General features: G+C 42.5%; 1 protein-coding gene and 1 pseudogene across 4 annotated transcripts in view, besides 4 other annotated features; one reads left to right on the plus strand and one right to left on the minus strand.

The window, feature by feature from the left end:
- The window catches only part of NCEH1 (neutral cholesterol ester hydrolase 1), an 80,819-nt gene extending 61,943 nt beyond the window's left edge, over positions 1-18,876 (minus strand). For all 4 annotated transcript variants that reach the window (NM_001146278.3, NM_001146277.3, NM_020792.6 and 1 more), the window contains exon 1: positions 18,656-18,876. Coding sequence is in view for 2 of the 4 variants with exons in the window: in NM_020792.6 (NP_065843.4) it covers positions 18,656-18,793 (138 nt within the window). In the remaining 2 variants the exon portion in view is untranslated. The remainder of the gene's footprint in view (positions 1-18,655) is intronic.
- RNU6-547P (RNA, U6 small nuclear 547, pseudogene) lies at positions 10,933-11,034 on the plus strand (annotated as a pseudogene).
- Positions 18,328-19,527: an enhancer, noted in NCBI's record as "P300/CBP strongly-dependent group 1 enhancer chr3:172428309-172429508 (GRCh37/hg19 assembly coordinates)". NCBI's record gives its function as "activates an origin of replication core promoter dependent on BRD2, BRD4, P300/CBP, MED14 and CDK7 cofactors, with strong dependence on P300/CBP, by STARR-seq in HCT116 cells {active_cell/tissue: HCT116}" and the evidence as "EXISTENCE:reporter gene assay evidence [ECO:0000049][PMID:35650434]".
- Positions 18,657-18,926: an enhancer, noted in NCBI's record as "active region_20829". NCBI's record gives its function as "activates an Ori minimal core promoter by ATAC-STARR-seq in GM12878 lymphoblastoid cells {active_cell/tissue: GM12878}" and the evidence as "EXISTENCE:reporter gene assay evidence [ECO:0000049][PMID:35858748]".
- Positions 18,848-19,142: an enhancer, noted in NCBI's record as "tiled region #3964; HepG2 Activating DNase unmatched - State 1:Tss, and K562 Activating DNase matched - State 1:Tss". NCBI's record gives its function as "activates a minimal TATA promoter and a strong SV40 promoter by Sharpr-MPRA in HepG2 and K562 cells {active_cell/tissue: HepG2 | K562}" and the evidence as "EXISTENCE:reporter gene assay evidence [ECO:0000049][PMID:27701403]".
- Positions 19,187-19,326: an enhancer, noted in NCBI's record as "active region_20830". NCBI's record gives its function as "activates an Ori minimal core promoter by ATAC-STARR-seq in GM12878 lymphoblastoid cells {active_cell/tissue: GM12878}" and the evidence as "EXISTENCE:reporter gene assay evidence [ECO:0000049][PMID:35858748]".

Below are 27,779 nucleotides of genomic sequence, written 5' to 3' on the forward strand. Positions count from 1 at the left end.
GATACAGCAAGAAAGACAGACTTAAAGAAGTTTCTATTAAAGACAAAAAGCTACTAAAACCAAACAGAAGAAAAACCTCATTGTTTTCAATCAAATTATATATTTGGCCACCAGGAGTTAAATGCTACTGTAAGGTTCGTAATGGAATATTTTTATTTTTCTTTCTCTCTTTACTTTTATTTTGAGACAGGGTCTGGCTCTGTTGCCCAAGCTAGAGGGCTGTGGCAGGATCACAGGCTCACTGTAGCCTCAATTTCCTGGGCTCAAGTGATTCTCCCACTTCAGCCTTGCAAGTAGCTGGGACCACAGGTGCATGTCACCACACCTGGCTAATTTTTTTTTTTTAATTTTTTTGTAGAGATGGGGTTGCACTATGTTGCCCAGGCTGGTCTCAAACTCCTGGGCTCAAGTGACCCACTTGCCTCAGCCTCCTAGAGTGCTAGGATTACAGGTGTGAGCCACCGTGCCTGGCCTAGAATATTTTTAGTAAGTAGTTTCAAGTTTATTTCATCAAGTAATACTTACTCTTGATGTTGGTTGTGTGCTTTCATCATCCTATTATTAGCTTATTAAAAGTGACCAAAATTAAAGCAGTGTAATAGATCTAACAACACAAGGTGGGCTAGTCCCACCCATGGTTCAGTCATGTAAAGATTTCCTTCAAACTTTGATACTTTCAGAAACTCCAGAGCAGTAGCTTCCTGTGTCTGCCATGCTCTTTCACCTCAGACTCTTGCTGTTTTCACTTCCTGGAATGTTCTTCCTATTGAAAGAGTGCTACTTCTCATCCATTCAGACCCAGCTCAGCCAGCACTTCCTCTGGGTTCCTCTGAGTTCCTCAGACTTACAGGGGCTTCCTCCAACCTGGCTCCCGTAGGACCCACTTTGTACCACAAACTGAAGCCCTCAGCATATTTGTTTGGGATTGTCTACATCTTGGTTTTTCAGAGTATGAGAAGCTCCAGGACTCTGCAGTGTCTGACACATTCTGGGTAGCCAATAAATGTCTGCTGAAAATATGCTGGCGCTTTAAAAATGAATAATGCATCATTTTCCTCCATAAACAGAAAGAAGAAGAGCTATAACAAAATATAAGACTATATGTTTAAGTATAACTTCAACATCTATAAAAAGACCCTGAAAGCAAACCGTGTGCACACAAAGCCACAAGGACCAATCTGTATTTCAGCAACTTTAAGGATTACAGGTGTGTCAAATTTTAACATGCTACCCATGATTGCTTGCCAATCTTCTAAAGCCTGAATATGAAAAAAAAAAAAAATGGGAGGGGGTGGTTAGAGTTGGGGATGAGATAAAGATATTTAACCACTCATAATACCCAAATGAAAGTCCAACTCTTTAAAGCACTTAAATTCTATTATTTGCTCTCGAAATATGCTTTGAGAGAGACAGAAACCATGTTAATGTTTTTAGAGTAATTGAACATCACTACCAAAGAGGTTCCTTCTGTAGACGTAACCAATAATACTATTTTTCTTTTCATCCATGTATTAAGCTTCATTTAATTGAACAATTCAGAATTGTGCAATTTTAATTAGCTATGTGAGGAAATATGACTGACACGTTATTGGTTTTGGTCAGTAGAAACCTCTGTGGCTGCCAAGAACCAAATGTGGCACATGGAGTATCCTGTAAAATACTGACCCACTGTCCTTAACAAAAGTATAGTATGTGTATTTAATTTTTAAATTTTTTATTTTTTTGAGACAGGGTCTCACTGTCACCCAGGCTGGTGCAGTGGCCCAATCATAGTACACCACAGCCTCAAGCTCCTGCATTCAAATGATCCTCCCACCTCAGCCTCCTGAGTAGCTAGGACTATAGGCACGTGCCACCACACCCAGCCAACTTTTTAAATTTTTTGTAGAGACGGGTCTCACCACATTGGCCAGGATGATCTCAAACTCCTGGGCTCAAGCAAACTTCCTGCCTCATCCTCCCCAAGCATGAGCCACAATGCCAGGCCTGTATTTAAATGTTATACAACTATAGAACTAATAGGATTTAATCTAAAATGGACTAAATTTACTATTAATCTGATGAGAACCTTTTGAGACAGACAGAAAAGGCTACTAAGCCTGTGAAGAGTCCAGACTGTAAAATATGTTTCCACATTGATGAACCAACTGACATTAATTTAGTTATTTGGGGAAAGAGTTATATATATGTGTGTGTGTGTGTCTGTGTGTGTGTGTGTGTGTGTATGTGTGTATTTTACTATTTAGTACATCAGTAATTTCCATCGGTAACCTCCACCTTGAATTTTAATCACAACCTATAAACTATATTTTGACTATTTCTTGTCAGAAATGATGGCTCAATATCAACATTGCCAAAGTCAAAACATCAGTTTTGGAGGACATCCTTGACATCACTCCAACAGACAGGTTACGGGTTGAGACTTTGAATGGAAAGGCACAGGTGCCTGGAGTGCACTTGTGGGGCCCTGACAGGCCCATTGCAGTCCTCAGGTTCCTCGGCTTCTCAGGACAGTTCATCATAGCAGCCCCACCCTGCTGGCAGTACTCCGTCTGGGCTTCTCTGATGCCTTCTTCCCATTTTTTCTTGTTTTCCCAACTTCTGCTTCCTCTGAGGCTCCACCTCTTCTTGGCAGCTCTAACACTATTCTTCATTCAGGGGATTTCATGGATTTCCAGGGTTTCCATTATCACTGACCTGCCAACAAATTTCTCCCTATTTCCTATATTTCCTTTACTTATTCATCTCATGTTTTTAGCCTGGATTTTAGCTCCAGGAGGACCAAGTGCTGTTCGTCTTGTGAATTGCTATATCCAAGTACTAGCACATAATAATTGCTCAACTAACATGATAGAGAGGACATGGTATATTTCCTCAATTATGGTGGTCAACTGAAGACACCTATGTTTCATAACTTCAGAAGTCAAAGTCATCTTTTCCATACTCATAGGCCAGATCTCTAAGCCCCAGAGTTGTCAATCATTTGAGCAAATCTAAAGCCCTTTGTTGAGGAAAATATCAACCCTGCTTGTAAGTACTTCTTCACTACCTTCACATTGAGGCAAGGTCACCTGCCATTAGGACTAGAATTCAAGTAAAGCACTTTAATTTAACAAAATGTCATTTCAACAACTTTGCCTAAGGTACCTACAGCCTAAGGAACTCTTCACAGTTGACACAAAATTCTAAAATGAACAATACCTTGGCAAAGCCCAGTGGAGCTCCTTGATATAAGACAGTGACTAAGAGACGATTTCTCTAGCTTTTGGAGCACTACCTCCAGACAGATTACCTGGAGTAGAATTTTGACTCTGCCACTTATGGGGTATGTGACTTGGGCAGATATTTAATTAACCTCTTTGTGCCTCAATTTCCTCATTTATAATATAACAACAATAGTACTTATGTAACAAGGTTGGTATAAATATTGGGTTAATGTATTCAAATCGTGGTTAGAAAAACAAGCTAGCAGCTGGGTGCGGTGGCTCACGTCTGTAGTCCCAGCACTTTGGGAGGCCGAGGTGGGTGGATCATTTGAGGTCAGGAGTTTGAGACCAGCCTGGCCAAAATGGTGAAATGCTGTCTCTACTGAAAATACAAAAATTAGCTGAGCATGGTGGAGCACACCTGTAATCTCAGCTACTTGGGAGGCTGAGGCAGGAGAATCGCTTGAACCTAGGAGGCAGAGGTTGCAATGAGCTGAGATGGCACCACTGCACTCCAGCCTGGGTGACAGAGTGAGCCTCTGTCTCAAAAAAATAAATAAATAAATAAAAAAGAAAAAGAAAAAGAAAAATGAGCTAGCTATGATAATGATGATTCATATATCCAGTTAGAACATCAGCAAACTAAATCTACGGACCCTAAAACTTTAACTTTAGGAAGAGGTTTTGAGTTCTTGTTATATGCCAAGCACTGGGTTAAGAAACTCATATACACAATTACATTTAATCCTTATAAGCCTTGAAGGAGGTACTGTCATTATCTTCATGTTCACAGATAAGAAACTAACACAGATGTTAAATAACTTGCCCAACTAGTCACAGGTGCTAAAGTCAGGATTTAAACCTAATAGCCATAACCAACAGCAGCCCATGTTAAGAAGATCTACACCTGTATAGAAATCCGCAAACCTGAGAGCAATAGCAGATTGGCAAGAATAATGGTGACGATAAAAGAAAAAAAAAATTACCTTTGTAGTTTAGTGTAGACAACTGACAAAAATCAGATTTGGACTAAATATATTTCTCGTGTGCCAGGTATTGCTCCAAGTGCTTTACATATTTAACTAATGTTTGATGATGATAACAATGAACAATAAACCTTTATTCACATATTGTGCAATCTTCATAACTTTCCAGATGGAGCATTTTAATCACTTGCTAGATCAGTAAACAAACCCTTGGGTTATGTCCTCTGTTCAAGGTCACACAGCTAGGATAGCTCAAAGCCGGGATTTGAACACAAGTCTCCTCGATCCCAAAGTCCATGCTCGTAAACACTATGAAAATGTTCCCCAATGTTTGGTAAATATACCATCAGTTTCATGAGGTGTTTTGTGAAATAAGAGATCTATAGTCAATTAAATTTGGGATTCATTGTACACTCTCTTTAAGATTCAAAATACATATTAGCAGAGAGTTCTCAAAGGTTTTACAGTTAAAAAAGAAATCCTGATTAACTCTGTTAAACTTAGCTTATTTAACCATAGAGCCCTATTCAATGGGTAATATATATCTTTTTTCTTTTTTTGACAGAGAGTCTCACTCTGTCGTCCAGGCTGGAGTACAATGGCGTGATCTTGGCTCACTGCAACCTCTGCCTCCTGGGTTCAAGCGATTCTCATGCCTCAGCCTCCTGAGTAGCTGGACTACAGGTGCGCCCCACCATGCCCAGCTAATTTTTTTTTTTTTTTGAAGTATAGATGGGGTTTTACCATGTTGCCCAGGCTGGTCTCAAACTCCTGAGCTCAGGCAATCCACCGGTCTTGGCCTCCCAAAGTGCTAGGGTAACGGGCGTGAGCCACAGCACCCGGCCAATATATATCTTTAAAGCAAATACTGAGGCCATTAGCCTGAGGTTGTCACTGTAGCTATAGCCCCCAGGTAAGCAGGCCAAAACCCAATTCAACATAAACAGTAAAATAAAACTTAAGCTTAACCTATCAGAAACCACTAACTAACCTCTAGCCACTGGATCATACCCAAATAAGCCAAAATGCCTAGCTGTAGCCAATCAAGTAATTTCTCTACCTCTCTTGGGTGTTTCATCTATAGAATCTTGCTGTTCACCCTGCAGAGTGCAGCTCTCTTGGCTCAAATAAACTGTTAAACTTATTTTGTCTCAAGTTTTTTTTTTTTAAACTGTATTAGCATCCTCCAGGACTAAAATTTGTAAATACATAATACACTTTTTCCCAATGTGATGCATTCTTAATGTGGATCATACAACTAGCCACAAAAGAGCTGAGCGTGGAGGGAGAGGAGGGAGAAGGGGAAGACAGAAGATTGAACAACCATAACAGGAGACTGTTGAATGTAGTTCAAAGGGCAATGGGGTCCAGCAGACCTTGTTCACAGCCAACTTCACTAAGCAGGCCCATGTCTGTGAAGAAGTTACTTAACTTTGTTGAGCCTCTATTTCCTTTCCTATAAAATGAGAGCATTAACTACTATTTTATAAAGTGGTTGTGTTTGTAATTCTGCAAATGCATCTATTATTATGCAGATATCTGCCAGCAATCTTATTGTTAAAAGCTGATCACTTTCTAAAAGCAGAATTTTTTTTTTTTTTTTTTTTTTTTGAGACGGAGTCTCACTTTGTCACCCAGGTTGGAGTACAGTGGCGTGATCTCAGCTCACTGCAAGCTCTGCCTCCTGGGTTCAAGCGACTCTCCTGCCTCAGCCTTCCAAGTAGCTGGGATTACAGGCACCCGCCACCATGCCCGGCTAATTTTTGTATTTTTAGTAGAGATGGGGTTTCACCGTGTTAGCCAGGCTGGTCTCAAACTCCTGATCTCAGGTGATATGCCTGCCTCAGCCTCTCAAAGTGCTGGGATTACAGGTGTGAGCCACTGCACCCGGCCTCTAAAAGCAGAATTGACTTGCTTTGCTAAGAAAGTTCAGGAAGCCCGGATAATTGCTGTCTGGCCCTGCCTCTCACAAACAAGGAAGAACTGTGTTCAGTGAAATGGAAGTGACTGAAACCTTGGGACAAAGTGACTTTACCTTGGAAATGATGCATATACCAGAAACAGTGAGATACACATCTTCCACTTTTTAAAAAGTAGATTTCAAAGTTTTCAAAGAAAGATAGTTTGAGTCTCAGGGCAGGGACAACATTATGGGACAGGCAGCTCTGAAAAGGGTCTCTCAATCTCTCATGGGGTATTTATCAACTATCCTATTCAAGGGGAAAAAGAAAAGGCAGATGACTATCAAATGTGGAAAATCACCAGTGTTCTTTTAAGGAGATGTCCTATAATTAACATTTAGTCAGAAACAGACACATAATTCATGACAAATTTGAAAACAAGCATAAATCTATTAAAACATGAGGAAGTTAGAAACCCAGAAAACAGCGAGGCTTGCAAAACACAGTTGTGAAGGACAACACAAAACCATTTTTGGCTACATTCAGAGTCAGAAGCACGTGGAAGCACAGGGCCTGCCCCTTGCGACAGACGCGGTAACACAGTGATAATGGAAGCAGAACCATGAATTCCTAATTTCTCTTTAGTCTCTCTATCGTGAATGGTCTTCAAACAAAAATAAAAGTCCTAAAGCAGTAAGAGGAAAATTATGTCAATGATAGGAGAGAAAATTTATGATTTGGTGGGGAGCCTGTACATAAGTAGCAACATAAGCAACATCTAAGGGCCATAAAAGAAAACCAAAACGCTAGCAGAGTGTTGAGAGAGAAATTAAGGCCAAGGAAGGGCAGTGAGAGGGAAAGAGACGGGGAAGTTCTCAAAAGAGATGATTTCTGAGTTGGTATTGAACGATGCGTGGGATATTGCCCAAAGTAAAAGGGTGGGAGGGCATCTGGGACAGAGGGGACAACAGGAGAAGCGTAAGCAGATTCACGAGCTGAACTGTCATCCATGACACAGTGAGGCTGCAGTCAGCAAAATGGTGCCAGGTTGTAGCAAGCACCAAGTGCCAGCCAAGGAACTTAGCACTTTTATTCTACAGGGGATAGGAAGTGCGGGTGGGGTGGAGGAGTGGTAACTGGAGGATTAACAGTCAGATTGGAGCACTCAGGACTGGGAACGAGGGATCATTTCACAGCCTTGACTTGATTAGGCCAAATGTGTGCAAGTCAAATAAATGCAGCCTGAGCATCCGTCCAGGTTTGACTGAGAATCACTCTGGTTTAAAACCATTGCACTGAGCTAGGCATGGTGCCTCATACCTGCAATCCCAGCACTTTGGGAGGCTGAGACAAGAGAATCACTTGAGCCCAGGAGTTTAAGACCCACCCTGGCAATATAGGGAGACCTCATCTCTACAAAAAATACAAAAATCAGCTGGGCATGGTGGTGTATGCCTGTGGTCCCAGCTACTTGGGAGGCTGAGGTGGGAAGATTGCTTGAACCTGGGGAGGCAGAGGTTGCAGTGAACCACGATCATACCACTGCATTCCAGCCTGCGCCACAGACACCCTGTCTCAAAACAAAGAAAAAAACACTGTTGACCTAGCATGATTATTAATAGCAGTCCCTGCTACTCTCAAAAATGTCCTGGTTTGGACAATAAATTATACGGCTACCTAAATACATGTAACTTGGGGACTATCTATCTGTGTTTAATAACAATGATAACAGACATATATTTTAAAAGTTACAAACTGGAGAAAGGTGAGCTTCCCAATAGGTATTCTACAAATGGATTACAGATGGGGCACTAGCTATCAATGTTTAAATATTTTATAGAGGTAAAAACTTAAAGCCATTTTGTATAACTATACAGAGTTGAATAATTGGCATCAGAGTTGGCATTCTATTTGAGAACCATTTGTGTAACTCTTTATAAATCTTGTGAATTCTGTTATTCAAGCTCATACAGATTTCCCCAAAATTGCTTCCAGAATCCCCAGTATACTATACAAATGTAATTGTTTCTATGACACAAAAAATAAGAAGAAGCACTGATATAGATTAATTGTGGGAGCTCAAAAAAAAAATCAGGACAAAAAATTCACTAGTGACTAAGTTATCATGAGTGTCCTCACAGCATAGCCCAGCAGGGAGGGCATGAAACTAAGAGTCCATGAATTTCTATTGCAGTTCCCATTTCGCCAGCATAACTGATCACATGTTTAAATTTAAAAAATTTTTTTAAGAGACAGGGTCTTGCTCTGTCACCCAGGCTAGAGTGTAGTGGTGTGATCATACAGCCTTCACCTCCTAGGCTCAAGAGATCCTCAGTCTCCCCAGTAGCTGAGATCATGTGCCACCACATCTGGCTAACTATGTTTTGTAGAGACAGTCTTACTTTGTTGCCAAGGCTGGTCTTGAACTCCTGGCCTCAAGGGGTCTCCTGCCTTGGGATTACATGTGTGAGCCACCGTGCCTGGCCCTGATCATACGATCTTGATGGTGTCCTTGAGCCTTTCTGAACCTCAAGTTCCCTTAGCTGACAAATGGAAATAACAATGGCAACCAGTTATTTATTGAAAAAAAAATGAAATGAGGTGATATTAGTAAAAACCTTCATAAAATCTAGAGTACTTTATAAATATGAGGTATACTAAAAAGTTATGTTAAGGTCTCATTTCTCTCAGGGATAGCCTCTTTTTCCACTTGCCACTGGTGTCCCTGAGGGGCACCCTTGGTAAAATCCTCCAGATCTTACTGTCACTCCAAACACATTCATTTCAACTACTTCTGCCACTATCCATTTGCTGACTACTCCCAAATCCATATCACCAGCCCAGCTCTGTCTCCTGAGCTCTGGATCTGTATATGCAGCTGTTTATGATCAGCCATCCTTGGACTAGTCCACTGACACTTCAAAACAGGGTCCCAAACTCTATATCTTCACCCTCAGATCTGCTCTTGCTCCCAAATCAGGGTCATGGTCCCCATTCACCCAGCTATTCCAGAATCTGTCCCAGGAGTCATCTTTGACTCCTTCCTCTCCGATGCTCCATACTCTCCCCTCCAACAGCAACTCTGATCAGCTTTCCTCCAAATCAGTCCCACTTTGTTAGTTCATGCTCTCACCTGGATTAGTGCTTCCTAGATGGTCTTTTGCCTTTTTTTTTTTTTTTTTAAAGACGGAGTCTCCCTCTATTGCCCAGGCTGGAGTGCAGTGGTGCAATCTTGGCTGACTGCAACCTCCACCTCCCAGATTCAAGGGATTCTCCTGCCTCAGCCTCCCGAGTAGCTGGGACTACAGACGCGTGCCACCATGCCCAGCTAGTTTTTTTTTTTTTTTTTTTTTGTATTTTTAGTAGAGACTGGGTTTCACCATACCGGCCAGGCTGGTCTCAAACTCGTGACCTTGTGATCCGCCTGCCTCAGCCTCCCAAAGTGCTGGGATTACAGTTGTAAGCGACCACGCCTGGCCTACTTTTGCTTTCTTACATTCCAGTGTCTACACTGCCACTGAGAAGGACTATTCTAAAACACAGTTTTGAGCATGTGACTTCTCTGCTAGAAGACTGTCAGTTGCTCCTTTCTCCTCCACAGAGCTCTTCCTCACCTGACTGGTGCTTCCCTTCTGCCTCCCTCTCTGACCTTTGAACTTTAAGCTCCAGCCAGTCTAAACCACTTGTAGTTCCTCAGCTACACCATCCTCTCCCACAGAACTTTCACATACTGCTGCTTCTGGCTGGAATGCCCCTTTCACCCTTCTCTTCTCTGGTTTCTATTATAAGGAAATCTAGCACAAATCTAAACTCTTGAGTTCAGGAGTAACACAGGCTGGAATCGAATTCAGGCTCCACCTCGTATAAACGGTGTCATCTTAAGCAAGTCACTTTTCTTTGCATTTCGGTCTCCTCCTTTGTCACATAAAGAACACCTGCCTGATTGTATTACCATGGGCTAAACTAATTGAACACAAAGCACATAGCACAGTATCTGCCACAGAGTAAATGCTCACTATATGCTCAATAGATATTTTTACTATAGGCACTCAACCTTGACATCTCAGATTAGATACGTTTCCCCAGTGCCCAGGTCCACTTTAGATGTTCTTTCCAAGGCTCTTGCAGCAATCCACAGATGCCTCTATCATAATTCTCCTTCCATCATTCAAGTGCCCACCTTATCGCTGGCAGTTGGTTTATCATCCCTCACTTGACTGTAAGCTTCTCAAGATTAGGTATCTGCCTTACACATTTCTGTTTTGCCAGACCAGCTCCTTAATATTTAATATGTGATGACGTCCAGGGTTTTAATTTTATTAAACACTGAAAGAGAGCTTGTTAAAATTTCACAATATGACACACCTTAGATTAGGCAGGCGATATAGTCAGGTTTTTCACTTGAAAATTCAATTACAGGTAGGCACGGTGGCTTATGCCTGTGATCCCAGCACTTTGGGAAGCCAAAGCAAGAGGATCACTTGAGCCCAGGAGTTTGAGACCAGCCTGGGCAACATAGCAAGACTTTGTCTCTCCTAAAAAATAAAAAAAGAAAAATATAGCCAGGCATGGTGGCACGCGCCTGTAGTCCCAGCTACTCAAAAGGCTGAGGCAGGAGGATCCCTTGAGCCCAGAAGTTCAAGGTTGCAGTGAGCTGTGATCACACCACTGCATCCCTGCCTGGGTGACAGAGCAAGACCTTGTCTGTAAGAAAAAAATAAAAAGTAAAAAACGAAAATAAATTCAATTACATTTCTTCATTCTATATAAACATAAAATGAAAGAGAAGTGGTAGACAGTTCCCACATAATTTCATTTGGCAGCAAAAGTAAATATATGGTGCTCACTTCAGCAGCACATACACTAAAACCATAACAGTTCAGAGAGGACTAGCATGCCCCTGCAGAAGGATGACACACATTTGCAGTGTTACATATTTTCTTTAGAAAAGTAAATATGGCTGGGTGCAGTGGCTCACCCCTGTAATCCCAGCACTTTAGAAGGCCAAGGCGGGTGGATAACCTGAGGTCAGGAGTTTGAGACCAGCCTGGCCAACATGGTGAAACCCCATCCCTACAAAAATACAAAAAAAAATTAGCCGGGCATCATGGCGGGGGCCTGTAATCCCAGCTACTCGGGAGGCTGAGGCGGGAGAACTGCTTGAACCTGGGAGGCGGAGGTTGCAGTGAGCCGAGATCGCACCATTGCATTCCCGCCTGAGTGACAGAGCAAGACTCTGTCTCAAAAAAAAAAAAAAAAAAAGTAAATATATGCTATTTTAAAATGCTATTTTAAAAGAAGCAATTGTGCATAAAAAGAACATTTAAGAATGATTAACTGTACTTTCACACTTCACAGAAATGTCTCAGATCAAGCTCAAATTGCATGGTAGAAATAGGATGTCCCATTAAAATAATGAGGGTATTTCTATGCTCAGGGTTATATTTGTAGAAGTACCAGAAAAAATAAAAAGGAAACTATAAATTGGGCATTATCTTACACACCAGGTAGCTGAATCAATCTGACCTTAATGTTTCATAGGTACTATCTGCAGAGACCAACTCAGGTTGTTCACCTGTCAGAACTAACACTGATTAAATAATGCCCCTGACACTATTCTTAAAACCTTTTGCCTCCATATGTTTAAAGAAAAATCCTAGCAAATCAGCTAAAAATTGTGGTTAGTGAAGTTACTAATGTGCATGAAGAAATACGCATCATCATAATTTCTGGACAATCATTATTTACTGATGTTTTAAAGTTAAATTCACCTGACAATAGTAAATATTCCAGTTCAAAACTGTTATGAAAGAGATTATTAGCACGTTGAAGTTCTGCACAGTTTCCAGCTGAGCTGTCATTTAAACCACACCCACACAGCCCAAAAGCACATCATGCACAGAGAATTCAGGTGAGGTGACATTAAATCTCAACAAGTTTGGGGACATTTGGCAAGATAAAAATCCTTGATCAACTAGTCCAAAAGCACTGTCACCCATAAGAAACAGGGGGAACACTCAGCATAAATACCAATTTCAGCACTTCTTTTACATTGTGTCACTGAAAAGATTCATAGTGTAAGCAGTAGTAAGTTAGAAAATAATCAAGACAAGCCAGGCTCATGCTCCGAGCTCTCTTGGGACACCATTATTACCTTTAGCCACATTTTCCTTCCATCATTCAAGCACCTACCCTATCACTGGCAGTTGGTTTATCATCCTTCACTTGACTGTAAGCTTCTCAAGTTTAGGTTTCTGCCTTACACATTTCTGTTTTGCCAGACCAGCTCCTTGCCTTGGTGTTCATTTAATAAGTGATCACTTCCAGGGTTTTAATTTTATTAAACACTGAAAGAGAGCTTGTTAAAATTTCATAATATGACACATCTTAGATTAGGCAGGCAATATAGTCAGGTTTTTCACTTGAAAATTCAATTACAGGTAGGCACGTTGGCTTATGCCTGTGATCCCAGCACTTTGGGAAGCCAAAGCGGGAGGATCACTCTTCTAAACTATACATAGACTCTCCCTCCTATGAGACTTTGTAACTACACCTGTTCTACACCTATCAGCTTCCAGCTTTTTAATAGCTATATATTAACATGACTTCTCCATCCTACTAGACTGTGGTTTCTTCTAGGTCACTTTAGTGACTCTCCATAGCTTCACACAGGATTTCAATCCATGTTAAGTCTAGGTAACTGAGCACAAAGCATGGCACTATGATAGCTATATCAGGGGATCCAGAAAGTCTTTTTAAAAGAAATTCGATTTTTCTCATAAAGCAAATACTAAAATATATATTGATATGCATATGCACATCAGTTCCACTTTAGAAATAGAAAAATTATCCCTGGGGGGAAAAGTTACTTTTTGTTTTGAAAGATATTTTTTGTAGAGATGGGGAGGGTGGCATAGTTTCACTATGTTGCCCAGGCTGCTCTCGAACTCCCGACCTCAAGTGATCCTTGCACCTCAGCCTCTGTAAACTCAGCTGATAGCAATAACCTAAGCACATTCTGAGAATGACCCTGTATGGCAGACACACCTAAATGTGTGTTCTGAGTTAAGGAGTCCCCAAGTGCCCAACCCAGTGATTTGTTCTTTATCTATGATAAACATGTGAGCACCGCCCATCATGTAACATGGGATGTACAGGGGATTGAGGCCCTGAGTTTTGGGTTAAATGAAGGTTGCCAGGTGGAAGTCATTAGGGGGAAGACGTCAAGTGACAATGCTATGTAAACTACATGTTTGTAGGCAGTTGTGATTTTCCTGCCCTGCCTGCCACCACTGGACTGTAGAAAGACAGATATGTTGTCCAGCCTCCTGCCAATGCCCCTTTTCTATATATAAAGTGGTTCTTCTGTCCAGCCCACCACCACTGGACTCTTTCCCTTGTATGCAAGCCCCTAATAAAACCCTATTTTTGGCTGGGCACGGTGGCTCACGCCTGTAATCCCAACATTTTAAGAGGCCAAGGCTGGTGGATCACCTGAGGTCAGGAGTTCAAAACCAGCCTGACCAACATGGTGAAACTCTGTCCTTACTAAAAAATACAACAATTAGCCAGGCATGGTGGCGGGCACCTGTAATCCCAGCTACTCAGGAGGCTGAGGCACGAGAATCACTTGAAACCAGGAGGTGGAGGTTGCAGTGAGCTGAGATCACGCCACTGCACTCCAGCCTGGGTGACACAGTGAGACTCCATCTCAACAACAACAACCAAAAAAAAAAAAAAAAAAAAAACCCATGTCTTGTTTGCAGGCTCTGGGAATCTTCTTCAGCCTCTTCAACCTGGTGCCTTCACTACTGAGGTTAATGGGGGTTTGGCACAACAGTCTCCCAAAGTGCTGGGGTTACAGGCATGAGCTACCATGCCTGGATTAAAAAAAGCTTTAAAATAATTTATTACTACATGTTCATTGTAGAAAATCTAGAATACACCAATACGAAAACTGAAGATACAACTTTATGGCCCAGAAGAAAAAAATCATGTTTTAAATTATATCTTTCTGCTTTTTCTATACAAACATAGATACATGTTTTGATATATAAATAGTGTATGATCTATTTTGTAGCCTTTTCCTGCTTAACACATGGTACAAATCTTTTGCAAGTCATTAAACATTTTACAACCTAAATTTTTTTAACTGCCTAGTATTCCCAAATATGAATTTACCATTATTTAATCTTTTACTGTTCTTACATTTTTCTTTTTTTTTTTTTTTTTTTGAGACGAAGTCTCACTGTAGCCCAGGCTAGAGTGCAGTGGCACCATCTCGGCTCACTGAAACCTCCACCTCCCTGGTTCAAGCGATTCTTCTGCCTCAGCCTCCCAAGTAGCTGGAATTACAGGCGCGCACCACTGCACCCGGCTAATTTTTTGTATTTTTTAGTAGAGACGGGGTTTCACCATGTTGGCCAGGCTGGTCTTGAACTCCTGACCTCAGGTAACCCGCCCGCCTCGACCTCCCACAGTGCTAGGATTACAGGCATGAGCCACCACACCCGACCTTCATTCGTTTAAATGGTGCTGCAAATAAAAGAAAAAAAGATTGCTCGATTTTACTTCACGTTTATTATAAGTGGCAGTGCTTTTAGACAAGTTCAACAAGTTTTTGTTTTTTTTCTTTGTCTTACGGTGCTGATGAACAAGTTTTTTAATCCTGTAAAATGTTTCCATCTTTATAGCTAGAGGTTTGCCTATATCCATCATTACTTACCATAAATTCCATCTAGAGGGATTACGGGGTCAAAAAATAAACACACTTATAAGGCTTTGATGGATATTGCCAAACTGTTCTCCAAAAACGTGGTTCTAACATACATTTTCTCCAGCAGTGTACACTTAGTATTTTAACCTGCACTGAGATTACCATTTAAAAAAAAAAATCTTTGTCTGCATAGCATTTGGAAATCAGCCTTCAGGACTTCCCCAAACTCTCTTCTTTTGTTCCTCTAGTCTCCTGCTGCCTGATCATCTAAATTACACCTCTGCCCTTCTCAGACCTACTTTTGTTTGTGCTTTTCCACTGCTCAAGTCTTATGGTGGCTTTGCTATAACACAGAAATTTGCCTAGCTAGTATTTTATCCCCTTAGGGCCAAAGTGTCAACTAATCTGATAAACTAATCCATGCTAATGTAAAAGGGCTCATTTCCAGCAACACGTATGCAATATAACACGCAGTTTAAGGAAAATATATTGTCTACAACAGCAATGCCTTTTATCTTATAGAGCAGTGGTTCTCAAGTTTTGCTGCAATGAAGATCATCTGGGGAACTTTTCGTTTTTTATTTTTATTATTATTATTTTTTTGAGACGGAGTCTCACACTGTTGCCCAGGCTGGAGTGCAGTGGCCTGATCTCGGCCCACTGCAAGCTCCACCTCCCGGGTTCACGCCATTCTCCTGCCTCAGCCTCCCGAGTAGCCGGGACTACAGGAGCCTGCCACCACGCCCAGCTAATTTTTTTGTATTTTTAGTAGAGACGAGGTTTCACCGTATTAGCCAGGATGGTCTTGATCTCCTGACCTCGTGATCCGCCCGCCTCGGCCTCCCAAAGTGCTGGGATTACAGGCGTGAGCCACCGCGCCCGGCTGGAACTTTTCTTAAACACTGCTAAGAACGTTCATCTCCCAGAGATTCTAAGTAAGTTTGGTATGTGGTGTAACCTGGGCATCAAGTGTTTTGTTTTGGTTTGGTTTGTTTTAAACAGTTCTTAGGTGATTCTGACATAGCATCTGTGTTTGAGAGGAGTCAGAGAGATCCTAAGTAGCTGCTTCTTAAGGAATATGGGGAACCCCAAGGAAAAAAAGCACAATGAACATAATCTCAATAGTCTGACTCACTGCACAAGATAAAGGACATAAAAAATGCTAAAGCATAAAGTATTTGCCAATGACAACAGAATAAACTAACATTCACATTTCTTAATGGTAGGCAGCTGATGCTGTCTTAGGAAATAGGCTGAGCTTAATCTCTCAAACAGCTTAAATTGCTTTTGTAGTTGAGCCAATCAACTCAAACTAAAATTATCTGAGTAACGAGGTTGACACCATGCAATTTATTTATTTATATATTTTTTTGAGACAGAGTTTCACTCTTGTTGCCCAGGCTGGAGTGCAGTGGCACAATCTCGACTCAACGCAACCTCCGCCTCCCAGGTTCAAGCGATTCTCCTGCCTCAGCCTCCCAAGTAGCTGGGACTACAGGCACCTGCCACCAGCCCTGGCTAATTTTTTGTATTTTTAGTAGAAAGAGGTTTCACTATGTTGGCCAGGCTGCTGGTCTCGAACTCCTGACCTCGTGATCCACCCGCCTCGGCCTCCCAAAGTGCTGGGATTACAGCGTGAGCCACCGCCCCAGGCCATGACACCAGGTAATTTAGTAGTAGCACTCCAGGTTTCAATCACATAAATTACTTCCAGTTTACATTTATTTTATTGCTTCAAAAAAGGTAAGCATTCTTATAGATGTTCCCACAATCCACAATGGACCCTTGGGGACAACTAGAAGACTCACTACAAGTACCAGGCACTTAAATACATTACTAAACCTTATAGCAAACCTACAAGGTAGTTTTTTGCCCTATTTTACAGGGAAAACTCAGGAAGATTTGAGGTGACACTGGAAAATTGCTTTATTGGGTAGAATATGTTTCCATCTGATCATAATGATCTTTCTGATATTTCACAATTTAGAGGAGAAGTGATAAGAGCCATTTTTCTGCAAATCCACTCCTGAGCCACAGTGTCAGGTGAGAACACTGGTTACCTCATCTATTGCTGACTTCAGGTTACACCCACTATCATTCCCAAGCACCACCTGAGGGTATACTCTGTGGAGGACCTTACACAGCCTTGTCCTTAATGGGCTGGCAAGCCTAGCTGGGAAAGAAAAGCTTTTCTCCAAACCTAGCTTGTCCGAGATTAACTTATGATGGAGAAGACTTCTTTGGTGACCTGAAAACTAAGAATAATCTCTGCAGCCAACACAGCAGTTTGATCTTTTTCCTGTTTTCCTCTGTTTAAGTTATTGTAGTAGACCATTAACCCACCCAGGTAAACATCACTGTTCCTCAATCTTTGAAGGGTATTACTTTCAAATTACATAATTTCATGGGGGAGGAGAGGGAATGCAAGGCTTCCTACAACAAGACTGACTTTCTTGACACCAGTGCTAAAGAAGGGGATGATCATTTTCACCATGTCAACATTATAGGAAGCAAGAGGAAAAGAAGGGGGGCAGGGGTCTATAGCTTCATAGACCTTTCCTAAGAGACAAAAGGGGCTTTGGAGGTGAGAATGTGGCTGAATTCAGGAAAAGCAAATCCACGCTAGGAATGTGCTGCAATATCCTAGTAAGGGGACTTTTCATAGGATAAAGCCCCACAGATTATGTAATCCTACACATAATGAGTGGACAGGGAACAGGAACATAAACCCTCTGGGAAAATCATGACTTTTTTAAAATCAGCTTTCTCAGGTTGAAATGATTTTTTTTCTCTTTCTCTAGTTGTCATTTCTGAAAGAAAGAGTTTATAAAAATATTCTGAGATTAAAGCCCAAGGTTGTGGGGAGGGAGGAGGCTTGGTTTTGGAGAAGGTTAGAGTTTAGATAGAGCAGGCTGCTCAGAAATACTGTCCAATCAGAGGGCTCAGCCTTGGCTGCAGACTGTAGTTTAGATTTTAGATTCTCTGACACTAAAAATAATGCCTCTTACCATGGAATAAACCAGAGACAGTTATATTTTCCTGTGTATGGAAGGAATGAACACACGCCCATGATACAGTGGAGAGAAATGTTACCCTCCCAGGTTAAGGCAGGTAACCTCGCTCAGGAAAAGGTTATCTGACAGCCAAGGACATAAAATAAATGCTGCAGGGCAAGCAGAAAACATGCATCATGCAAACCAGGGCTGCCGCCTCCTCACCTCCTTTCAGCCAGCCCAGCCTCCCAGTCCTCTTTCTTGGGCTGAGCTGAGATCTGCCTCGGGTGAAACGAGAGATCCCTATGGTTCCTCAAGTGCTTGGATGGAGAGCCCTGCCTGCTGTCTCCGGGAACGGAGCGCTCCACAGCCTGGGGACATTGCGAGACTGCCCTTGCCTGCTTCTGCTTCTAAGGTGGCTGCATTCCCAGGAACCAGAGCCTGCTTTTCCCGAGCTCTCCTAAAAATATTTATCCTCTGCCGGTCCCTATGGGAGAACGACAGTGTGAAGAAGGGTGGTTTATAAACTGCTTAAGGATTTGCCTTTTGACGTTGCAAACCAAGGAAGAGGAAGATATTTAGGACAGACGAAGGTTTAAACAGTTGTCAAATTCTATTCAAGCACTTCTTCCCCGTCACAAACGCAGACGGGGAAATGCAGATCTAGCCCGCTGCTAGCAAGGAGGCGAATGCGATACCCTGAAAATTCCCGACTGGACCACCTCAAAAAGCGACAGCCTCAATGCATTAGGAAAAACCTGCGTTTTCGTGGAACCCGGCGGAGGAATTTTGTATCCCCTTCAAATATTGCGTAAGAGGAGGAAGAGAGAAGCAGCGCTGGGCTGCACCTCACCACTTGCTGTGCACCCCGGAAAGTGGCGTCCAGCAGCATCAGCTTCCAGGGGTCGGACACGGAGCCAGGCAGCGGGATGTAGACGTAATAGGCGGCCAGCGCCACCAGGGCGGTGAGCAGGACACAGGACGACCTCATCTTGCCCTGGCTCGGCTCGCCAGCGGGCTGGCAAAGAGGAAAGGGCGATACCACCCGGAGACCTCCGGCAACTTTCTGCCCGCGGCAGCTGCTCATTCACGCGTTTCTTATAAGCCCAGGAGCCAATCAGAGGCTGCGTCGGGAGGAAGTTGGAGCGCGGACATGCCCCCTCTACGGTGTCCTTGCAAAGTGTGGCAGTCACTACAGGTTTGAGGAAGGCTCTGTCGCTGCTCTGGCCGTAGGCACAGCGGACTCTGGAGGACACTGGTTTGTACTGCATGCGTGTGAGGATGGCTTTCCTCCTGGAAGGTCTCAAACGGAAAATAGTTTCAGTGTGACGAGTCTCTGGACAAAGCAAGTGGGTCATTCTGACTCAGAGTACTGAGAAAGGATATAAAAATTCTGTTTTCTGGAGCCAGACTTGGAGTGGTTTGTAAGTTCTAGCTGATATATGGCAAAAGAAGATATTAAATTCTTCTGGCTCAAGCAATGAAAGGCCAGTAGTACATCTAGCACCCAAGTCTTGGTTTCTAAATCCTATGCTCCAATAAGAGGAACCACGGCTTTTTGACACAACCTCTGGAGAAAAGGCTGATACCAGGGCTGGGGCTGTAAAGTACAAGATGAACCTGTTGTGCCAGAGATGCGGAAGTGCTCAAAAAATGATAGGAACTGGTCAAAGGTCCACAGCTGCCAGCTTGAAGGGTCTCCCAGTGGCTGAAGCTGGGATAATTTTACCATCAATATAAATCATCATAATGGATAACCCATTGATTAAAATAAAACTCAACAATCTATATTAATATAAATAAATGAGGAAAGAAGAAAGGCTTTTCTTAAAATAGAATGCCAGCTAGTATCCATAGAAAATCATAAATGAATGCTAAAACTAGAGGGTAAAAATTTGACACAGAATTTTGGTCCTTCATCAGAAGATCTCTCCACAAATTACTACAAAGGGAAAAAATAATAACTTTTTATTGGAGAAACGTGTGGATATCACCTGAAAAATTCTTTCAGTGAGTCAATGGTAGCAGAAATACACTTAAACCCAGATTTCTTGTTAATGATTGGGGGTGAGGAGGGGTGGGTGAGTACTGAATGGGAGAGAGAAAACTTCACTAGCAAAATTTCAACCAGAAATCCAGAAGGAAAACAGTTAGAAGACCTGTTTCAAGAAAGTGGTAGGATGACAACTCCAAACTTATTGATGAAGGTCTTAAAACACCTAGTATATATAATTATGCATCTTAAGATGGTAATTTTAATTTAATCAAATTAATAGAAGTGAAATAACCATAAATTTGGTTCTGATAATGAGATTTTTAGGAAACAGTTGGCTTCTTCTTCAACATTGAAGGAAAACTGATAAGAAGGGCACACTTTCATGGTATTTCAAGCAAGTTCTCTCTCTCTTTTTTTTTTGTTTTGTTTGTTTTTGGTGTTTGTTTTTTGTTTTTTTTGAGACGGAGTCTTGCTCTTTTCGCCCAGGCTAGAGTGCAATGGCACGATCTCAGCTCACTGCAACCTCCACCTCCTGGGTTCAAGCAATTCTCTTGCCTCAGCCTCCTCAGTAGGTGGGATTACAGGTGCCCACCACCACACCTGGCTGATTTTTGTATTTTTAGTAGAGATGGGGTTTCACCATGCTGGCCAGGCTGGTCTCAAACTCCTGACCTTGTGATCTGCCCACCTCAGTCTCCCAAAGTGCTGGGATTACAGGCATGATCCACGGCACCTGGCCTCTCTCTCTCTCTCTCTCTCTCTCTCTCTCTCTCTCTCTCTCTCTCTCTGTCTTTTAAGTTACTGGTTAAACTCATAACTCTAAACAGATAGGAATGTTTATGTTTATGTTTGTGTGTGAGTATATGTGTAGAAAATTAGAAGCTATTCTTTTTTTTTTTGAGATAGAGCATCGCTCTTGTCACCCAGGCTGGAGTGCAATGGTGCAATCTTGGCTCACTGCAACCTCTGCCTCCCGGGTTCAAGCCATTCTGCCTCAGCCTCCCGAGTAGCTGGGATTTCAGATGCCTGCCACTAAGCCCAGCTAATTTTGTATTTTTAGTAGAGACAGGGTTTCACCGTGTTGGCCAGGCTGGTCTTGAACTCCTGACTTCAGGTGATCCACCTGCCTCAGCCTCCAAAAGTGCTGGGATTACAGGTGTGAACTACCACGCCCAGCCAGAAGCTAATCTTTATGGGTGATTAGGAATAATCCTGGAGATATAAACCAAGCTGACTACTGGATTTAGTTACATTACTTGCTTTCAGGAAATCTGCAAAATAAATCCAAGTTTTACCTTGTCGACAATACTTTTCTCTTAGATTTTGACTATATGTTCATAAAAACATAGATCTTAGAGCTAATGACAAAACCAAACCGAACCAAAAACAAACAAGCAAACAAATCCAAAAATCCCCACACCTAACTCAGCCTTCCCTCTTCCACCAGCAGTTAACACACTCGGTGTTATAGATGAGCCTCTTGAGGATTAGCGCAGCCAAATGGCTTACTCATATTCCTCTAGTTTGTAAGTGATAGTAGCAATATTTATTTCTGCCTCTCAGTGAAGTGTGGCTTCCCTTAAGCAGTACACTAAGAGATAGAAACTAAGAAAGAACAAAGAAACTGTAGTAATTCTCAGATCAGAAATCTGAGAGCCTCTGTAGATCTGAGAGTTTTTTAAAATGAGACTAATTTGAGATAAGTATAAACACCTTCATCACTTGTTTTCAATACTTCATTCATTCAACAAACATACCTGGCCTACACTGGGAAATAAAGAAGTTGTGGCAGGCAGGCTGTAAGGTTTCGACTCTTTGATTTTATATGCTTGGAGGGTGGTGGGGAGGGGTTCAGGGGAGGATGTAAGCATGATACAGAAGGAAGAGCCAAACAATAAACAAACAAAAATTAATAAGCAACATGCATTAATTTGCCTTGCTATGAGGTAATTCTGTGGTAAGCACTTTGAATATATTAACTAATTTAGCTTCATAACGATTCTACGAAATAGGTACCATTGTTACTCTAAAAACAGGCACTGAAAGATGAAGTGCTTTGCCCAAGCCATCCAGCTGGTATGTGAGCCCAGAGTCTGAGCCTAGTGCTCATGTGCTTTACCACTCAGCTCTACTGCTAAGTGGTTAAAAATGAAAATGGCCGGGCGTGGTGGCTCACGCCTGTAATCCCAGCACTTTGGGAGGCCAAGGTGGGTGGATCACCTGAGGTTGGGAGTTGGAGACCAGCCTGGCCAACATGGGGAAACCCCGTCTCTATGAAAAATACAAAAATTAGCTGGGTGTGGTGGCACGTGCCTGTAATCCCAGCTACTCGGGAGGCTGAGGCAGGAGAATTGCTTGAACCCGGGAGGTGGAGGTTGCAGTGAGCCGAGATTCCACCATTGCACTCTAGCCTGGGCAACAAGAGTAAAACTCCGTCTCAGAAAAAAAAAAAGAGAGAGAGAGAAAACAGAACAGGGTGTCTGGGAGCTGCTTTAAATTGGGTGGGAAAGGGGACCTCTTTAAGGAGATGCCATTTGAGCTGACATCTGCATGACAGGAGAAGACTGCCATGCAGGGTTGTGGAGGTGGAGGGAACAGGTGCAGAGGCTCTAAGATGCTAACCCGGTCAATGAACACTAACAGCTAGTGAGGCAGAAGTACTGTGGGAAAGGTGGTGGAACAGGCTCAGCCACAGAGGTAGTGTGGGTGCAGAAGAGCAGATCATTTAGGACCATGTAGGCCATGTTAAGGAGTTTGAATATTCTGGTACAATGGGAAGCAATTGGAGGTTTTGTAACAGGAAAGTGACATGATCTGATCTATTCATATATTTAAAAAGGAGCACTACAGCTGCCATGTGGAGAAGACCTGTCAGGTGGCTTTTGCAGTAGTCCAGATGAGATATGATGGTGGCCCGGAGCTGCAGTTTAGTTTAGCAATGGAATCAAGGGGACAGATTTTGGGTATATTTTAGAGATAGGGGAGATAAGACATACTCATAAATTATGAACGATGATAACAAGAGTCAAAATACTCTGTTTCTAAGGCAATAAGGTGTAGTTTGAGTGCAGAAATTGACTTTTCCGTTTTTATGGAATTGTCTTAGATTAATTTTTATTAACATCTAAATATATGACATAGCAATATCATTGCTTAACAAAATCTTTATTTTTATCACTTGAAATAATTTTCCCAAAATTCCATCTATTACACCATGTGAAGTGGTTTTCTTCATCCACGACAAGCAGAACTTTAGTTCAACATTTATTGAGTTTTGCTATCTGTAAGGCACTGTGGTAGATGCTGTCGTGATGAAAATATAGTTCCTTTCCTTGTGAAAAAGTGTTCTAGTTAGAGAGAAAGTCAGATAAGTAGATAGTTTCAAATATGTACACAGCTCAGAAATGTAACACAGAAGAAGTCAAAATTCTGTTCCAGAAAAATGAGGAATAAGAAATACTCAAAAATGGCGATGACTGAGCAAGTTCTGCAGGCTGAAAAGGAGTGTGTGTACAGGCAGACAATAAGTGAGACCATCCCAAGCAGAAAGAAGAGATTATATGGGAGTTCTGAAGTGTGATGGGAGCAGAGAACTACACATAGTTCAATATTTCTGGAGCATCAGATGCAGGGAGGTGGAGTGTAATGAGAGTATAACCTGAAGAGTTAGGGATCACACAATGAGGGCCTGCTACGAGTGTGTTATGTCACTGAAGAGTTTGAACATTATCCTTTAGGCAGTGGAGAGACACTGAAGGGTTTGCATGAGATCGCTCCGGTAGCGATGTACAGGGTATGTGTGTGGGGAGAGAACAGATGAAGTAGTTGGGAGGATGTTGTTTTTTTGTTTGTTTGTTTTTGTTTTGCTTTTTGGTTTTTTTTGGAGATGGAGTCTCACTCTGTCATCCAGATTGGAGTGCAGTGGCGTGATCTCGGCTCACTGCAACCTCTGCCTCCCAGGTTCAAGCAATTCTCCTGCCTCAGCCTCCCAAGTAGCTAGGACTACAGGTGCACGCTGCCATGCCTGGCTAATTTTGTCATTGCTGTATTTTAGTAGAGATGGGGTTTTACTGTGTTGCCCAGGCTGGTCTTGAACTCCTGAGCTCAGGCAATCCAACCACCTCAGCCTCCCAAAGTGCTAGGATTACAGGCATGAGCCACTGCACCTGGTCAAGGATGTTGCTTTTAAGGTGTGCAAGATAGAGATGGTATTAGCATAAACTTGTATCAGGTGATGAAAATGAGAATGAAGAGTCAAAAGATACCTGAGAGGTAGAATCAAGAAGACTTGTAAAGGGAGAATAAAGGAGTCAAGATGAATTTCCGGGTCACTCGCTGAAGCAGATGGGAGAATGGTGTTGCCTTTTCAGAGATAAAGAATGGTAAAGGGTAAAAGATTTAAGGGGAAATGATAAATTTAGTTTGGAAGAGTTAGGTTTGAGGTATCTATAAAACATTTAAGTAGAGACAGTACGTAGGCTCCCAGACACAAGCTGGAGATGTAAATGTGAATCTTCATCCTGTAACTGAAGCCATGACAATGAATGAGACAGAAGCTGTGTGTGTGTGTGTGTGTGTGTGTGTGTGTGTCCGCGCCCGCGTGATGGGGAAGGGTCTAGGGTTGGGCAGAAGAAAAGCAGGCCAAAGGGTGTTGGCATTTACTGTTTAGGAGAAGAAGAAGGAGAAGTTGACAAGAGGCCAAGAGGAAGTGGTCAGAGAGGGGTCTGTCTGAACTAGAGGCACGGAATAGTGGTGAATACTGAAAGGCAAGGAAATCATTGAGAAGTTAAATTGGTGGAATTTCCTAATTGGATTCTTGAAAGGGAGAGGGAGAGGATGGAGCCAGCAATGACTTCAAAGTTTCTGGTTTGGGCAATGTCATTAACTGGCATAAGAAATACCAGAGGCAAAGCAGGTCTGGGGATAAAATAATGAGTTGAGGCCAGGCACAGTGGCTCAACGCCTGTAATCCCAGCACTTTGGGAAGCCGAGGTGGGTGGATCACGAGGTCAGGAGATTAAGACCAGCCTGGCCAACATGGTGAAACCCCGTCTCTCCTAAAAATACAAAAATTAGCTGGGTGTGGTGGTGCATGCCTGTAATCCCAGTTGCTCCGGAGGCTGAGGCAGGAGAATCACTTGAACCTGGGAGGCGGAGGTTGCGGTGAGCCGAGATTGTGCCACTGCATTCCAGCCTGGCAACAGAGCGAGACTCCATCTCAAAAAAAAAAAAATGAGTTCAGTCATATGATGTGCTCCAGGTAAAGCATCCTGATGAAGATGTCCAGCAGGCCACTGGATTTAGAGGCTGGACCCTTACAGGAGGTGTCAGGGCTGTACTTGGGAACAGCCAAGATGGGTAACCCAAGCATCATAACATATTAAACCACTTATACAAACTATATAATACAAAGTATATGATACAAGTATATTACCAGGGACACATGATATATCAAACCCTGAAACAAAGCATCAAGCCATTAATACAAACTATGTAAGTATAAAATAAAAAGACTGATACAAAGTAATAAAGGTCTTTAAACTGTTTTTAGTTTACTCAGCATTGTATTCAGCAGCATTCTCTGGTCTAAATGCAATGTTAACATTTAATTAAGGTCTAAATCACTACATGATATGTTTCAAAAAATGGCTTGTCAATGACTTCCTTTATGTGTCTGCCTGTTTTGCATAATGCCCTCTACTGGTTATGGTTTGAAGCTCATACTTCATCTTGCCAACCAAAACGGTATTATATTCACTTAACAGCGAAAATCTAGGGTTGTGTTCAAAGAATAAAAGGAATATTCTCTCTCTTTTTTGAAACCACCCTGTTAAATCATCGCCCCAAAGATTTATGAGTTTATAAAAAATTCATCCTGGACCAGCCTGGACCAGGCTGAATTTTTCCTGGAGTTGGCTCATGGCAACTCCAGGAAAACCACAGTGTTGCTTCCTGAACTGGAGCCTCATATTGCCTCCTCGTACCACCATAAACACACATTGCAGGGACCACTCCTGGTGCCTCATCTCCCAGTTTCCTGTATCTTGCCCTCAGTGATTAGTTTAGTCTCCTATGACTGCTGTAACAAAGTACCACAGACTTGGTGGCTTAAAACAACAGACAGGTATTTATCTTAAAGTTCTGGAGGCTGAAATCAAGGCTTTGATTTTAGGTGTTGGCAGGGCCAAGGTGTTGACAGGGACATGCTCTCTCTGAGGGCTCTAAGGGAGGATTCTTCCTTGCCTCATCCTAGCTTCGGAGGTTGCAGGCAATCCTTGGTGTTCCTGGGCTTGTAAATGCCACCAGTCTCTGCCTCTGTCTTCCCATGGCTGTCTTCTCTGTGTGTTGGTCTTTCTATCTGTTCTCCTCTTAGAAAGACATCACTCATATAGGCGGATCACTTGAGGTCAGGAGTTTGTGACCAGCCTACCCAACATGGTGAAACCCCATCTCTACTAAAAATACACAAATTAGCCAGGTGTGGTGGCAGACACCTGTAATTCCAGCTACTCAGGAGGCAGAGGCAGGAGAATCACTTGAACCTGGGAGGCAGAGGTTGCAGTAAGCCAAGATTGTGCCATTGCACTCTAGCCTGGGTGACAAGAGCGAGACTTTGTCTCAAAAAAAAAAATAAAGCAAAGAAATAAAAGAATGGCTACTCCATAGGCACAGCAGTGGCATGGTCTGCTTGACCAAGTACACTTAGAGTTATTTCTTGATTATATGCTAAACAAGGAGTGGATTATTCATGAGTTTTCTGGGAAGGCAGTGGGCAATTCCTAGAACTGAGGGTTCCTCCTCCTTTTAGACCAAAGAGGGTAACTTCCTGACATTGCCATGGCATCTGTAAACTGTCATGGCACTGGTGGGAGTGTCTTTTAGCACGCTAATGTCTTATAATTAGCCTATAATGAGCAGTGAGGATGACCAGAGGTCACTTTCCTTGCCACCTTGGTTTTGGTGGGTTTTGGCTAGCTTCTTTACTGCATCGTGTTTTATCAGCAAGGTCTTTGTGACTTATTATTGGGAAAAAGCTGAGTGTTGGCAAGAAAGCTGAAGCAGGGCTTGCATGTCTGACATAATGTCCTCTGGAATATGTCTAGACTTGCTGACTCCTTGCTTCTAGCCCTCCTAGGCTCCTAGATCGATTGTATTCCCATTATCTCAAGTAGCAGAACATGTTGCATATAAATGCTGAACCGTCACAGCTGTAGATCATGCGCCTGCCCTTTTGACATCCACATTCTCACCACCTGTTTTTTTTGTTGTTGCTGTTGGATTACCAATAAATAGCGTGGGTTCACAGAGCTTGGGGACTTCACAGCCTCCACAATCTCGATGGCCCCCTGGTCCCACTTTACTTCTCAAACTTTTTCTCAATCCTTTGACTCCACTGGACTTTGTCGCCCCCACGACCTGGTGTTGGGTCTGATCACCCCAACATTCCTGGCACTCAATGTGAGGTAACAAAGGCCCCAGTGAAGGAATGCTAGAGCATGTGAAAGCGGAGGACGCATCCTCGAAGGACACCCGAGGATGTCTAAAAGAAGCTCAGCGGGAAAGCTGAGCGCTCAGAAGAACGAGGGTAACAATGGGACAAAGTGAAAGCAGACATTCTGCTTATTTAAATTTCTTAAGGCATTGATTATGAAGAGGGGGAAAGATAGTAATTTGTTATCACTCTTTAGTGCAGTAAAGCAGCTTTGCCCATGGTTCCTGGAACAAGGGATTATGGAGTTGGATGAATGGGAGAGAATTGGCAGAGATTTAAAAAAAAGTGTATAAAGATGGAGCAAAAATTCCAGTCTCGGTTTGGTCAATGTGGGCACTAATAAAAGTAGCTCTTGAGCCATTTCAAACAGATGATGAGGCAGATTCAGATGAGGAAGAGGAGGATGAGTGTAAAAAACTAACCTCAGATTCTGAATGTGAGGAACGGAAAATGGAGGAAATTAAAGAAAAGAAAAAGAAACTCAGAGGC

The sequence above is a fragment of the Homo sapiens genome, chromosome 3 (assembly GCF_000001405.40).
Source record: "Homo sapiens chromosome 3, GRCh38.p14 Primary Assembly".
Lineage (NCBI taxonomy): Eukaryota > Metazoa > Chordata > Mammalia > Primates > Hominidae > Homo > Homo sapiens.